Source organism: Homo sapiens, chromosome 8, assembly GCF_000001405.40.
Source record: "Homo sapiens chromosome 8, GRCh38.p14 Primary Assembly".
Classification (NCBI taxonomy): domain Eukaryota; kingdom Metazoa; phylum Chordata; class Mammalia; order Primates; family Hominidae; genus Homo; species Homo sapiens.
Genome location: NC_000008.11, coordinates 119,553,326 through 119,565,424, shown reverse-complemented (window position 1 = coordinate 119,565,424; position 12,099 = coordinate 119,553,326). Strand labels below are relative to the sequence as shown.

General features: G+C 40.4%; 1 protein-coding gene across 14 annotated transcripts in view; it reads left to right on the top strand.

Moving 5' to 3' along the window:
- The window catches only part of ENPP2 (ectonucleotide pyrophosphatase/phosphodiesterase 2), a 116,305-nt gene extending 107,966 nt beyond the window's left edge, over positions 1 to 8,339 (top strand). For all 14 annotated transcript variants that reach the window (NR_045555.2, XM_024447182.2, XM_017013573.2 and 11 more), the window contains 3 exons: positions 470 to 602; positions 2,412 to 2,568; positions 7,734 to 8,339. Coding sequence is in view for 13 of the 14 variants with exons in the window: in XM_024447182.2 (XP_024302950.1) it covers positions 470 to 602; positions 2,412 to 2,568; positions 7,734 to 7,904 (461 nt within the window). In the remaining variant the exon portion in view is untranslated. The remainder of the gene's footprint in view (positions 1 to 469; positions 603 to 2,411; positions 2,569 to 7,733) is intronic.

The following is a 12,099-nucleotide window of genomic DNA, read 5'->3' as shown; positions in this document are numbered from 1 at the left end:
TGTCTGGATCTCCAGGAAAGGTCAGGGGTAAAGCTTAAACCTGGGAACTAGCATATTGATGAGATATGAAGGACGAGAAGAAAGAGTAAGGCCTTATTTTCATTACTCTGAAACACCATACTTCCTCTTTTGCACATTCTGTTCCCTCTGCCTGGCGTGTTCTGCCTGGGAAACACCACCTACTTATCCATGCTTCAGATCTCAGCTTGGGAGGATCCTTTCCTGACTTTTGAACTACGTTAAACTCCCCTACCATTGTTTCATAGCTCTACACTGTTCCCTTTGCTGGTTTGTAAATGACACACACACTGGTAATGCCATAGAATTGATTCATCTCATGAATCACGACAGCTCTCTTGTCTCTTGGCTTGTGAGATTTGGCTCGTAGCATGCATCCTAGAGAGAATTTGGCTAGAGTAAGGAGTTTTCTTCATGAATAATTGATTTTTGGATTTTTGTCTTTGCACAGGGGTCTGGAATTATTTCCAAAGGGTATTGGTGAAGAAATATGCTTCGGAAAGAAATGGAGTTAACGTGATAAGTGGACCAATCTTCGACTATGACTATGATGGCTTACATGACACAGAAGACAAAATAAAACAGTAAGCGTTTCATTTCTACTCAGTGTGTGATTTTTAAGTCCCAAGATCTCACTCAAGAAGTTTTTCAAATATTCATATACTAGAGAAGAGATGACACCCCTTAAGTTTTTTGAATTTTTCAATATATATATATATATATTTTTTTGAGACGGCGTCTTGCTCTGTTGCCCAGGCTGGACTGCAGTGATGTGATCTCGGCTCACTGCAACCTCCGCCTCCTGGGTTCAAGTGATTCTCCTGCTTCAGCCTCCTGAGTAACTGGGATTACAGGCATGCACCACCACATCCAGCTAATTTTTGTATTTTTAGCAGAGACGGGGTTTCACCATGTTGGCCAGGCTGGTCTTGAACTCCTGACCTCAAGTGTTCTACCCTCCTCGGCCTCCCAAAGTTCTGGGATTCCAGGTGTGAGCCACTGTGCCCAGCCTGAATTTATCAATTCTTTTGATTAAATGGGCATTGGTGGTGGGAATGGAATTTTGGGTTTTGTGGTAAATAAATGCACTTTTTTATTCTATGAAAAAAATGTATTAAAGGATTTAATTTTGTTTAGTCATTTCTTCAACAGCTCTTCAATGGGAAGATGACCATTCCCACTTATCTTCATTATTTGGGTGGGACTTAAGAATCCCTTAGATTTTCTGAGTCAGTACCTCTCAGTAGCAAAGTGCCTATGGACTTGGATTGAATCTGGTTGTCTCTGTCTCTTTGGTGCTGTTGGGCATATAAAAGCCATTATCTGTGCTCATAAGGGACCCCACAGTCTAGTGGAGAAAGCAAGATTTAGAGTGATTGGGATGTATTTTCATTGTATAAAATTAAATAACAACATTCTGAATTTGTCAACAAATTTGTTGACAAATTCAGAATGTTGTTATTTAATTTTATACAAGCATGAAACAATCAGCAGCCCAGAGTATAAGAGGGTTTAATTGTGATTTAGAGATAATTACAGAATAAATTGCTATTTTATAAATACAGATAAATAAGATAGAAATTATCTTACTTCTTTTCCAGTCATTCTGAAGAGAAATTTTGTGTAAATTGCACATTTATTTTATTGCTGATCACTGTTAGCCAAAATTAAATTAGTAGTTAAATCGTAATTTTAATATTTGGAAAATGAATAAAATTAAGATAATAGAAAACCAGGCAAGGAATTATGAATTTCTGTACTGATCTCTACAGGAAAATATTTTTTATACCTCTAGGTCCATCATTAGCACTCGGTCCTTAGTACTTCCTTTGGCAAATGAGTTCTTTGTATCAAGTTCTGCATCTCATTGTAGCTTGAAAGGGTCATTATTCTCCTGGCTCTAATGTCTCTTGCCCCTGTCCATTTTATACAACTCTAGGAAAGTTATCTTCCTGAAACATGGAACTAATAATGAATGACACTCCCTAGCACAAAAACCTTTAATGGAGCATTACTACCTAAATAATAATGCCCCAGTCCATATCCTGGCACTCAGAACCCACCATAATTTGGCTTTTATTGACGCTTCCAGCCTTTCATTTCTACTGCATTGGTCTATTCACCATTACCTGTCTCCAATTCTTAGATCAATCCATTTTCTTTGCCTGGAATATCTTTCTTACTCTGCCAGGTTGAGGAGTGAGGGGATTCCAGGCAAAGAAAACATTATTTTCAAAGACATAGAAGTGGGCTAGTGCTTAGAAGTGAAAAATGATTCAATTGAATGGGGATTAATTTTAGTGACTTAGGCAATATTCATTGATCACCATTTAAAAAAGAAAGCTTCAACATCAACTCATCAACTGTGACTTCGTTTTACCTTCCTGTTTCAGGTACGTGGAAGGCAGTTCCATTCCTGTTCCAACTCACTACTACAGCATCATCACCAGCTGTCTGGATTTCACTCAGCCTGCCGACAAGTGTGACGGCCCTCTCTCTGTGTCCTCCTTCATCCTGCCTCACCGGCCTGACAACGAGGAGAGCTGCAATGTGAGTTTACAGAGAGAGTCCTTTAGGATTTGCTTCCATAGTTCACCTTCGTTTCTTACTTTATATTTCCATCATTGAACTAGAACATACTTATTATAAAGCATTCACCCTAAACAGAAAAAAGAAAGGAACCAAACAGAACTTTGCTTAACATGTAGGAATTTTGCCTTCTAATGACTCTTTATTTTTCAATATATGTGTGCATTTAACATAATTCTATCAATGTGTACAATTTTGAGAAATAAATGTCCAAATGTTTTTCATTTTGCAAAAGAAAGTGGAGAATGACAAAATTTTATAAAAAAGTAGGAACTAGCAAAATTTTGATAATTGTTGAAGCTTGGTAAGAGGTCATGGAATTTTATTTCTCACTTCACTTTTCTGGATGTTTAAAAATTTCCATATTAAAAAACTTTTTTCTTTTTTAGCTCTGTCGCCCAGGCTGGAGTGCAGTGGTTTGATCTTGGCTCACTGCAACCTTCACCTCCTGCATTCAAGTGATTCTCCTGCCTCAGCCTCCCGAGTAGCTGGGATTGTAGGCGGGCACCACCATGCCCAGCTAATTTTTGTATTTTTAGTAGAGATGGGGTTTCACCATGTTGGTCAGGCTGGTCTTGAACTCCTGACCTCAAGTGATCCACCTGCCTTGGCTTCCCAAAGTGCTGGGATTATAGGCATGAGCCATTGTGCGTGGCCCATAATGAAAACTTTTTTTTTTTTGAGGCGGAGTCTCACTCTGTCACCTAGGCTGGAGTGCAGTGGTGTGATCTTGGCTCACTGCAAGCTCCGCCTCCCGGGCTCACGCCATTCTCCTGCCTCAGCCTCCCGAGTAGCTGGGACTATAGGCGCCCACCACCACGCACAGCTAATTTTTGTATTTTTAGTAGAGACAGGGTTCCACCGTGTTAGCCAGGATGGTCTCAATCTCCTGACCTCGTGATCCACCCACCTTGGCCTCCCAAAGTGCTGGGATTACAGGCGTGAGCCACTGCACCCAGCCATGAAAACTTTTTAATACACACACATACACACACACACACAAACACACACACACACACACACACACACAAAGCAAGAGCAAGCGAGAAAGAAATCTATACCTTACTAATCAGGTTTGCTACTAGTTATGATGGAGGTGTAGCAGTCACTGTTTTCTCAGATAGCACAGATGACTCCTGATTCACTCATCCTGTGGGGAGACAGCTAGGATGCAGGATGGCATCATGAAAACACTAGGGAGGAAGACAGGAGCCATGCTATATGCTCCTGGCCCTGTACTAACTTGACACTCAGGGACAGATGGAAAAACCTTCAGGTCCTTTTAATTTGATGGAAAGTTTGTGCTCAAAGGTTGATTTTAGAAGTAATGGTCTATGCTTTTGTTTCACATGACAGAAGGAGTAGAGATGTAATCTACAGAAGATAATCTTTAGTCAACAAGTACTACTCAAATTCCTAAGTTGTATAAGCTACTCTAGGAGAAACAAGAGTGTGTTAGACAGAGTCACTATTCCTAGGCAGCCCACAGAGTGGGTCAACAAATAAAACAGGTATGGAAATTGCAACACTGAAAGGCAAGGAGCCACAAGAATAGCTTCAATAGAGATGATCAGCTTTGTGGGCAAGATAGTTTTTGATCTGTTGACTTCAATTATGGGTGAAGATTGAGGCTATGAATGTAGAAGAAAATTAGAAAGTTTAAATATATCCCAGAAAGTGAATTAAGTTTTGCCAGAATATTAGAAATGAGGGCAAATAGTGGGAGAAAAGATTTTAAAAGTTGATTGGAATCAAATTTTTAAAAAGTAGTAGTAGTAATAGTAGCTATAGTAGATATCATAGCAGGAGCAGTAGTAGTAGTTGTTACCATTTATTGAGTACATGTTGTGATCCGATTATGTGTAGGTCCTCTACATATATTATTTCTAATCATATAACCACAGTATGAGGCAAATATATATATATATGATCTCTCCCCTGCCTTTTTGTTAACTGTTGAGAAATTTATAGCTACTAAGGGGAAAGTATGTTGTGTGGTTACTTGGTTAGTCAGCAGAAGAGCAGAGCTTTAGATTTAAGGCCTCTGACTCCAAGAGCCCATCCTCTTTCCAATTTATCAGACTTCCATAGTAGAACCTTGGGAATTTAGGAATTTTTTCGTACGTTTTAGGCATTAGGTACCCAAGGAAAATGTTTAGTTGGAAGAGCAACGTTTTTGGCTCTGCTTTAGGAAGATAAATTTGAAATGGAGGAGACTGAACATTGTGCTCAAAGGGCTTAGGCAAGATTCACAGGAGTGAGGCAAGAGAGAACTTGAACTGGGGTTGTGGTCTTGGAGATCTAAAAGGAAGGATGGAAGACAACAATATTATACTTGAAGGATCCATAGGGTTTTATAAATGATGGGAATGGGTGGTAGAGAAATGTGGAAACTGCAAGTGAGAGACAAGCTGTTATCAACTTACTGGCTTGGCCCTCTCAATTTTGGTTGTTTACAACCACAAAAGCCCCAGGTGGATGTAATGCCTCCGTATAACATGGTATACGTTCTCTGAGCTTCAGTCTTATTAGAAACTTGTAGGGAGGTGAAATTCTTGCAAAACATTAAACTGTTGTATTATGGGATAAAAATAAAAATTGCCATACAGTTCTAAGATGAAAAGACTACAAAGGTATTTCATATACATAGTAGGCCATTTAAGGTGTACCTAGATTCCTGGGGAATAGATGTTCAAGTTCGGTCATTAGAGGAATTTGGTGATGGGGAGTTTTAAAAATACTGCTCTAAACTTGGTACAAAGGCTGTTCTGTAATCGATCTAAATTTTATATCTGATAAATGAAATCCACTGAAGTCCTTACAGGTTTTCCTCTCCCTACTGGTTCCTGACTCTGCACAGAGTCTGGAGGCACTTCTTGTAGAGTTCGTGGCCAGCATGCTTCTCGTTGAAGGGTCACCTGTTCATGTAGAAGCTGTCCTTGCTGTGAATTTTACCTTAAAACTTCTGGGACTTGAATTCACAAACCTGGGGAGAAAGTCAGGGAGAAAAGACAGGTGAAGAATCAATGTCCATAATGAGGAAGACAGCAAGCAAGTTCATGGATTGTGCTTTTGTTTGCATTAATATTCTAAGTGCTTTATTTTTAAAGTCTTTCCTGTCCTCCCTACCTTGCTGTTCATGAACTTTTATCTGAATTGTCTTAGTTTTGCATCTTGCAGCACAGTCTTCATCAGCGAATGCTTCTGTGGATTGCCAGCGAACATCAAGGCAGAAGATATTTCCTTCACATGCCACATAGCTAGTATTTCCTAATGATGAATTATAGAACAGATTTCAGAGTGTGAGAACCGGAAGAGACTGCCTCTCCAATGAAATTGGCAAATCACTTCCCAAGGAAAGAAATAGCAAAAGACAGATGTTTTTGCAGAATTCTTATAATCCCAGCTAGCCATCATTTAAATTAGGAAAAACCTTTTCACCCCTGTCCACACATTCAAAATGACTGCATTTACAAAGAAAAAAATTGGACTGACTGACCACTGAAAAATCAAACAAATGAGCTGAATATGAAAATTCTCTCAAAATACAGGCTCATGCTTGCCCTGCTTACTCTGAGGGGGTCCTGACCCATCTGGAGACCTCCTACTTCGTTAATTATAGGGTCACACTGAGGACTGGTCAGTACCATTGTGGGTAGAGTTATATTTAGGTCTTTCCTTTCCTGTGAATCGCAGAGATCTTGGTTAGGTTGGGTTAGGAGGGTGGGACATGAAGGTTAAAATTCTTACCTCCCCAGCCTGCAAAGCAATTTCTTCCCCTTTCTTCATTTTGCCTGAGATGGCCAGGCATCAGTTTCCTGAACCAACACCCTCCCGAACATATTTAGCACTGGCACAAGCTGCTGCAGTTCCCTGTCCAGGTTTGTGTGGGTTGGAGCTTTCCGAGAAAGCCCATTGCAGGTTCTTGGGCTTTGGTGGATAGTTCACTGAGACCACTGGTGGTAAAGAGTTGGATGAGGGCATGTCTGAATATTCCCAGACCTAGGACATGCAGCCACCCTTCAACTTGTAGAAGGGCTCTTGGAAGCCATTGCAATTCCAGAGGCATTTGTGAATGGAATTACTTGCAAAGGTCCTGCTCAATGTCTACTAATGAAAGTAGACACTGCTCCATATTCACAGGGCTCTCAGATCTCACTCTTTCCCTCAACTTCCCACAAAAATGAAAGAAGCTATTTTTGAGATGCAAAGAACTGCTTCCCCTGAATTACCTTTTAGTTTCAAGTTAGACATGAAATAAGTTGTTTGATGCAGGACATCTGAATGTCTTTCATCTGCAACTTGTGTCAGTGGGGCAATTTTTGGCAAGCAGCTGAGGCAGAGATTCACTTTCTTTTTTCCGTGTTTCCTTGCTTTACCTTTCCCCCCGCTTCTTCCCTCCTCTCCTCCCTAACCTCCCAGGGAGCTGCAGAAGTAAGCATTATTATCCTTGTGAACCAAGGAAGAAACTGAGGCCTCAAAAGTCAAGTAGCTTGACCAAGGTCTCATAGCCAAGAAGTAGTACAGCCTCATTTCCAACTCTGGCCTGTTGGGCCCTAGAGTGCCAGATGTGTCAACTGAGTGGTTTCGAGTTGACCTCATTTTTCAAATAGCAATTTATGCATTCTAGTAGATGACGTGGTTGATGCAGCAGTTTCTTTTGAAAAACTAGGAATGCACACACATCATTTCGTGCATTAGGCTTAAGTTCTTCACTTTCCTTGGGAAGCAGAAGCATATTCCAAGTTACTTGTACTCTGTGCTCAATATTGCAATTTGACAGCTTGGAAAAGAAACAAATTACTGAATTCTCTAGGGCCTTTGGTTTTCCTAATTTTGATTTATGTTCTGAGAACCTATTGAGTCAAATGCCCTCTGACACCACATGTCTCGTTTATTTGGTACAGTTAATTGCTGTTGAAAATGTTTACAGCCAAGGGCAGGTATTTGTGGCACATTACCCATAGGAATGCGGTAGAGTGGCAGGGAGGCCAGGAAGGATCAACATGCGTTGGCTCTGTGTGCAAGAGTGCACAGAGGTCATTTGTGGACTTGGAGTAAACTGACCATTTGGAGAAACTCCTCTGGAAAATTCTGATTCTGATTTTGTTCTGTTTCCATTGCAGAGCTCAGAGGACGAATCAAAATGGGTAGAAGAACTCATGAAGATGCACACAGCTAGGGTGCGTGACATTGAACATCTCACCAGCCTGGACTTCTTCCGAAAGACCAGCCGCAGCTACCCAGAAATCCTGACACTCAAGACATACCTGCATACATATGAGAGCGAGATTTAACTTTCTGAGCATCTGCAGTACAGTCTTATCAACTGGTTGTATATTTTTATATTGTTTTTGTATTTATTAATTTGAAACCAGGACATTAAAAATGTTAGTATTTTAATCCTGTACCAAATCTGACATATTATGCCTGAATGACTCCACTGTTTTTCTCTAATGCTTGATTTAGGTAGCCTTGTGTTCTGAGTAGAGCTTGTAATAAATACTGCAGCTTGAGTTTTTAGTGGAAGCTTCTAAATGGTGCTGCAGATTTGATATTTGCATTGAGGAAATATTAATTTTCCAATGCACAGTTGCCACATTTAGTCCTGTACTGTATGGAAACACTGATTTTGTAAAGTTGCCTTTATTTGCTGTTAACTGTTAACTATGACAGATATATTTAAGCCTTATAAACCAATCTTAAACATAATAAATCACACATTCAGTTTTTTCTGGTTTTATTTGGCTTTTATTTCACTTATAAATTAGAGGGTTTGTTTCAGGTGTATTCATGCGTGTAAGGAACACATGTTTTGTACTAGGCCCTTTTCCTAGTTGCTTATATGACATTTAACCACAGTGGCCTGGATGAGATGGTTTAGGTACATATCTATAGGAAATCAGAAGGGCAGAGGGAAAGAGGAATTAGAAGCACTTCTGAATACAATCTCTCAATGTATCTCTTTTACAAATATTTTGAAGTTTGGAAAAATATTTTGAAGTTTTGACCAAGTTGGTTGAAAACTGTAAGTGTTAGATTCAACTTAAACTGCCTTGAACAAATATTCTATACAAGGTATTGACCTAAGAACCCTGGAGGATATAAAGAGAAATAAGACAGTGGGATGAGATATGGATATAAACATGTAATTAGCCAATCCAGGTAGAGAATAACAAATGCCAAGTAAAAAGTATTAGTAACAACACAATAGGACAGAAAGGTCTGAATAGTAATATGTGGGGGTAATTTTAAATGGACATAGTTATGGCTTTAAATACTAATAATGCATGGAGTGAAGAAGTCATTAAAAAATTTTCAGTCTTTCAAATTGTGACATAGAGAAAGACTCAGAATAGTGTTGTTATATCTCTAACAGTTGTTAATCTCCCTTAAATAAAGAAAACAAGGTCTGGCGCAGTGGCTCGTGCCTGTAATCCCAGCACTTTGGGACACTAAGGCAGGCAGATTCACTTGAGGTCAGTAGTTCAAGACCAGCCTGGCCAACATGGTGAAACTCCATCTCTACTAAAAACACACACACACACACACACACACACACACACACACACACACACAAAATTCCTGCATGGTGGCACATGCCTGTAATCCCAGCTACTTGGGAGGGTGAGGCAGGGGAATCGCTTGAACCCGGGAGGCAGAGGTTGCAGTGAGCCAAGATAGGCCCACTGCACTCCAGCCTGGGTGACACAGTGGGACACCATCTCAAAAAAAGAAAAAACAAGCAAACAAAAAAATCAGAAGAAAATAGCCTATTGTTTTGTTTTATTTATTTTTAATTGTTCCCTTTTATGGTCAGTGAAATGGGTTTTAATTTCTATAAATTTTCCTTTAAAAATACATTAAGAAGAAAGACATTATGTCAAAAATAATTTACATCAAAAGTAGCACAGTAAATTTGATGGTATTGGGGATATGTGAAAAATTGGGAAGGCGGTAAGGGAAAAACTGATGTCCTGGAAACAGGGCTGTAGGACTACACTGGAAGAAGTGATCATGGTGATACCAATGTGGCCGTATTTATAGAGCTTTCACTATGTTCCAGGCATGCCTCTGGCACTTCCTGTGGTTTGTCTTTGAATGCTGAAAAAGTGGGAAGCTCAGAGAAGATTTCATGGAAAGAGGAAGAATGAAGATATGAATGAGGAAGGATGCATTGGGCTTTGGAGTTTGGGGTAGGGTGAAAGGGTGGTAGAAATGAATTAGAATATGATTCATTATTCATTTAATATTTAACAATAATTTATTGAGCATCTACTATATGCCAGGTTGAGCATCCCAAAGCTGAGAATCTGATATCTGAAATGTTTCCTAATCTGAAATTTTTCGAGTGCCAACACAACGCACAAAGAGAATGCTTGTTGGGACATTGTGGGATTCAGATTTTTGGATTTGGGATGCTCAACCTAGGCATAATGCAAATATTCCAAAATTTGAAAAATCAAAAATCCGAAACACCTCCTGACCAACCATTTCAGATAGACAAGGGATACTTTCCATTGAGGATAAAACAGTGAATAAATAAACATAGTTCCTGGCATCATAGAACTTGCACTTTAATGAAAGAGACCCTTTTAAAAACCTCCAATTATATGTTATATGTGCTGTGAAAGAATTAATAAACAGGTGGAGGAGAGTAACAAGAAGGTGGAAAAGGAATGGCTTCATAGGTGACTTTCTAGCCAAGACCTAGGAGATGAGAAGAGCTGGCCTCTAGAAAAAGAGGGATAAAAATGAAGAGCATGGTCAAGGACTGGGGTCGGGAAAGATCTTAGGATGTGTGAGAATCTGAAAGAAAACAGATGCGCCTGAATGAAAACAGATGTGCCTGAATACAGTGGTGAGGTGGGTTGGGATCAGGTCAGGTCTCATTGAGGCCCAATAAGCTCCACTGAGGCATTTTGATTCCACTCTAAATGCAATGAGAAATAATAGAAAAGTCTCGGACAGAAGTGTGACGGGATCTGATTTAAGGTCTCACTCAGTACATGAACCCCATGTATTAGGTTCGTGCACAAATTAATTGCCGTTTTTGCCATTAAAAGTGATGACAAAAATGGCAATTAATTTTGCACCAACTTAATAATAATCACATGCTATGCTCTAGATATAATGCCACATAAAAATACATCTGAGGCTGGGCACGGTGGCTCACGCCTGTAATCCCAGCACTTTGGGAGGCTGAGGCAGGCGGATTACGAGGTCAGGAGATCGAGACCATCCTGGCTAACATGGTGAAACCCCATCTCTACTAAAAATACAAAAAATTAGCCGGGTGCGGTGGCGGGCGCCTGTAGTCCCAGGTATTCCGGAGGCTGAGGCAGGAGAATGGCGTGAACCCCGGGGGCGGAGCTTGCAGTGAGCTGAGATCGCACCACTGCACTCCAGCCTGGGAGACAGCGAGACTCCGTCTCAAAAAAAAAAAAAAAAAAAAAAAAATCTGATAAGAGAAGGTCCACTTACTAGGTGCTGTAATTGTCTTCCAACAGTAGCATTACAAGAGAGAAGGGTTAATTTTGATTAAAAACAAAAATAATCACGAACTGTTTGCTAAGCTAGATTCCTCTATCACCTCAGGTTGAACTCTTCTCCAAATAGGTTATACCTGAGGCTCCTGGGGAAACCGGTTGCAAATTTAGTTGAGTACCTCTGCTCTATTTTTATCTTTAGGATAAGTCTTTTTTTTCTTAAAAATAAACTCCATACCCGAAGAGGACATCAACCACTGTATATTTTCAGGTGAGTGGCTTTGCTGATAAACACGTCATTAATTGTGGGGTTATTTATGAAAATCCCTGAATGGACAGGGACTCTATTAAAATGAGGTCTAGAAGGCTATTTTAAGCTGCTTTTTTTTTTTTTTTTTTAATATTGAGACTTTGGTCCATTCATGCTTTCATTGAGCAAGTTGCAAACCACTCACCAGCATGGTGGTCCTGTTCCAGTGGTTTACCCCATTACAGTGAGTTCCTTTAAGGGAGGCAGTTTCTGAAGCCATCCACATAGTTTCCCAAGGGTGAAAACATCCTGAGTTGTTTATAAGAGGGCCGATTTAAAAAAAAAAAATTATTTGAACAAAAGCAGTGTTTCCTGCCAACTGGGATTGCATAACTCTGCCCAACAGCCACAGCCCCAAAACTTCCTGTGCCCATTATTCCTCGTGGTGGTTGGGAAGAGGGTGGCTGCAGATGAGTCCAGATGATTCCTCTTACTTCAGCTCTCCCTCACTATCCCTCTGCTGAGTCAGGACCAGGCCGCCTTGTGGGTGGGAAGTGTTAAAGGCAATGGGAATTACCCCAAGGCTTTGAGGAGAGGGATGGGATGGGACAATGAAGAACATGACTGAGATGTTCAAGTCTGTAGGCTGGGGCGAAGAGCACACTGCTGGAGGTCCAGCCTAGAGTGGAAGTGGGTCCTGTTGGGCTGCATTTCTAGGAAGTACATGCCTCCTCAACCCCTCTTGGCAGGGGT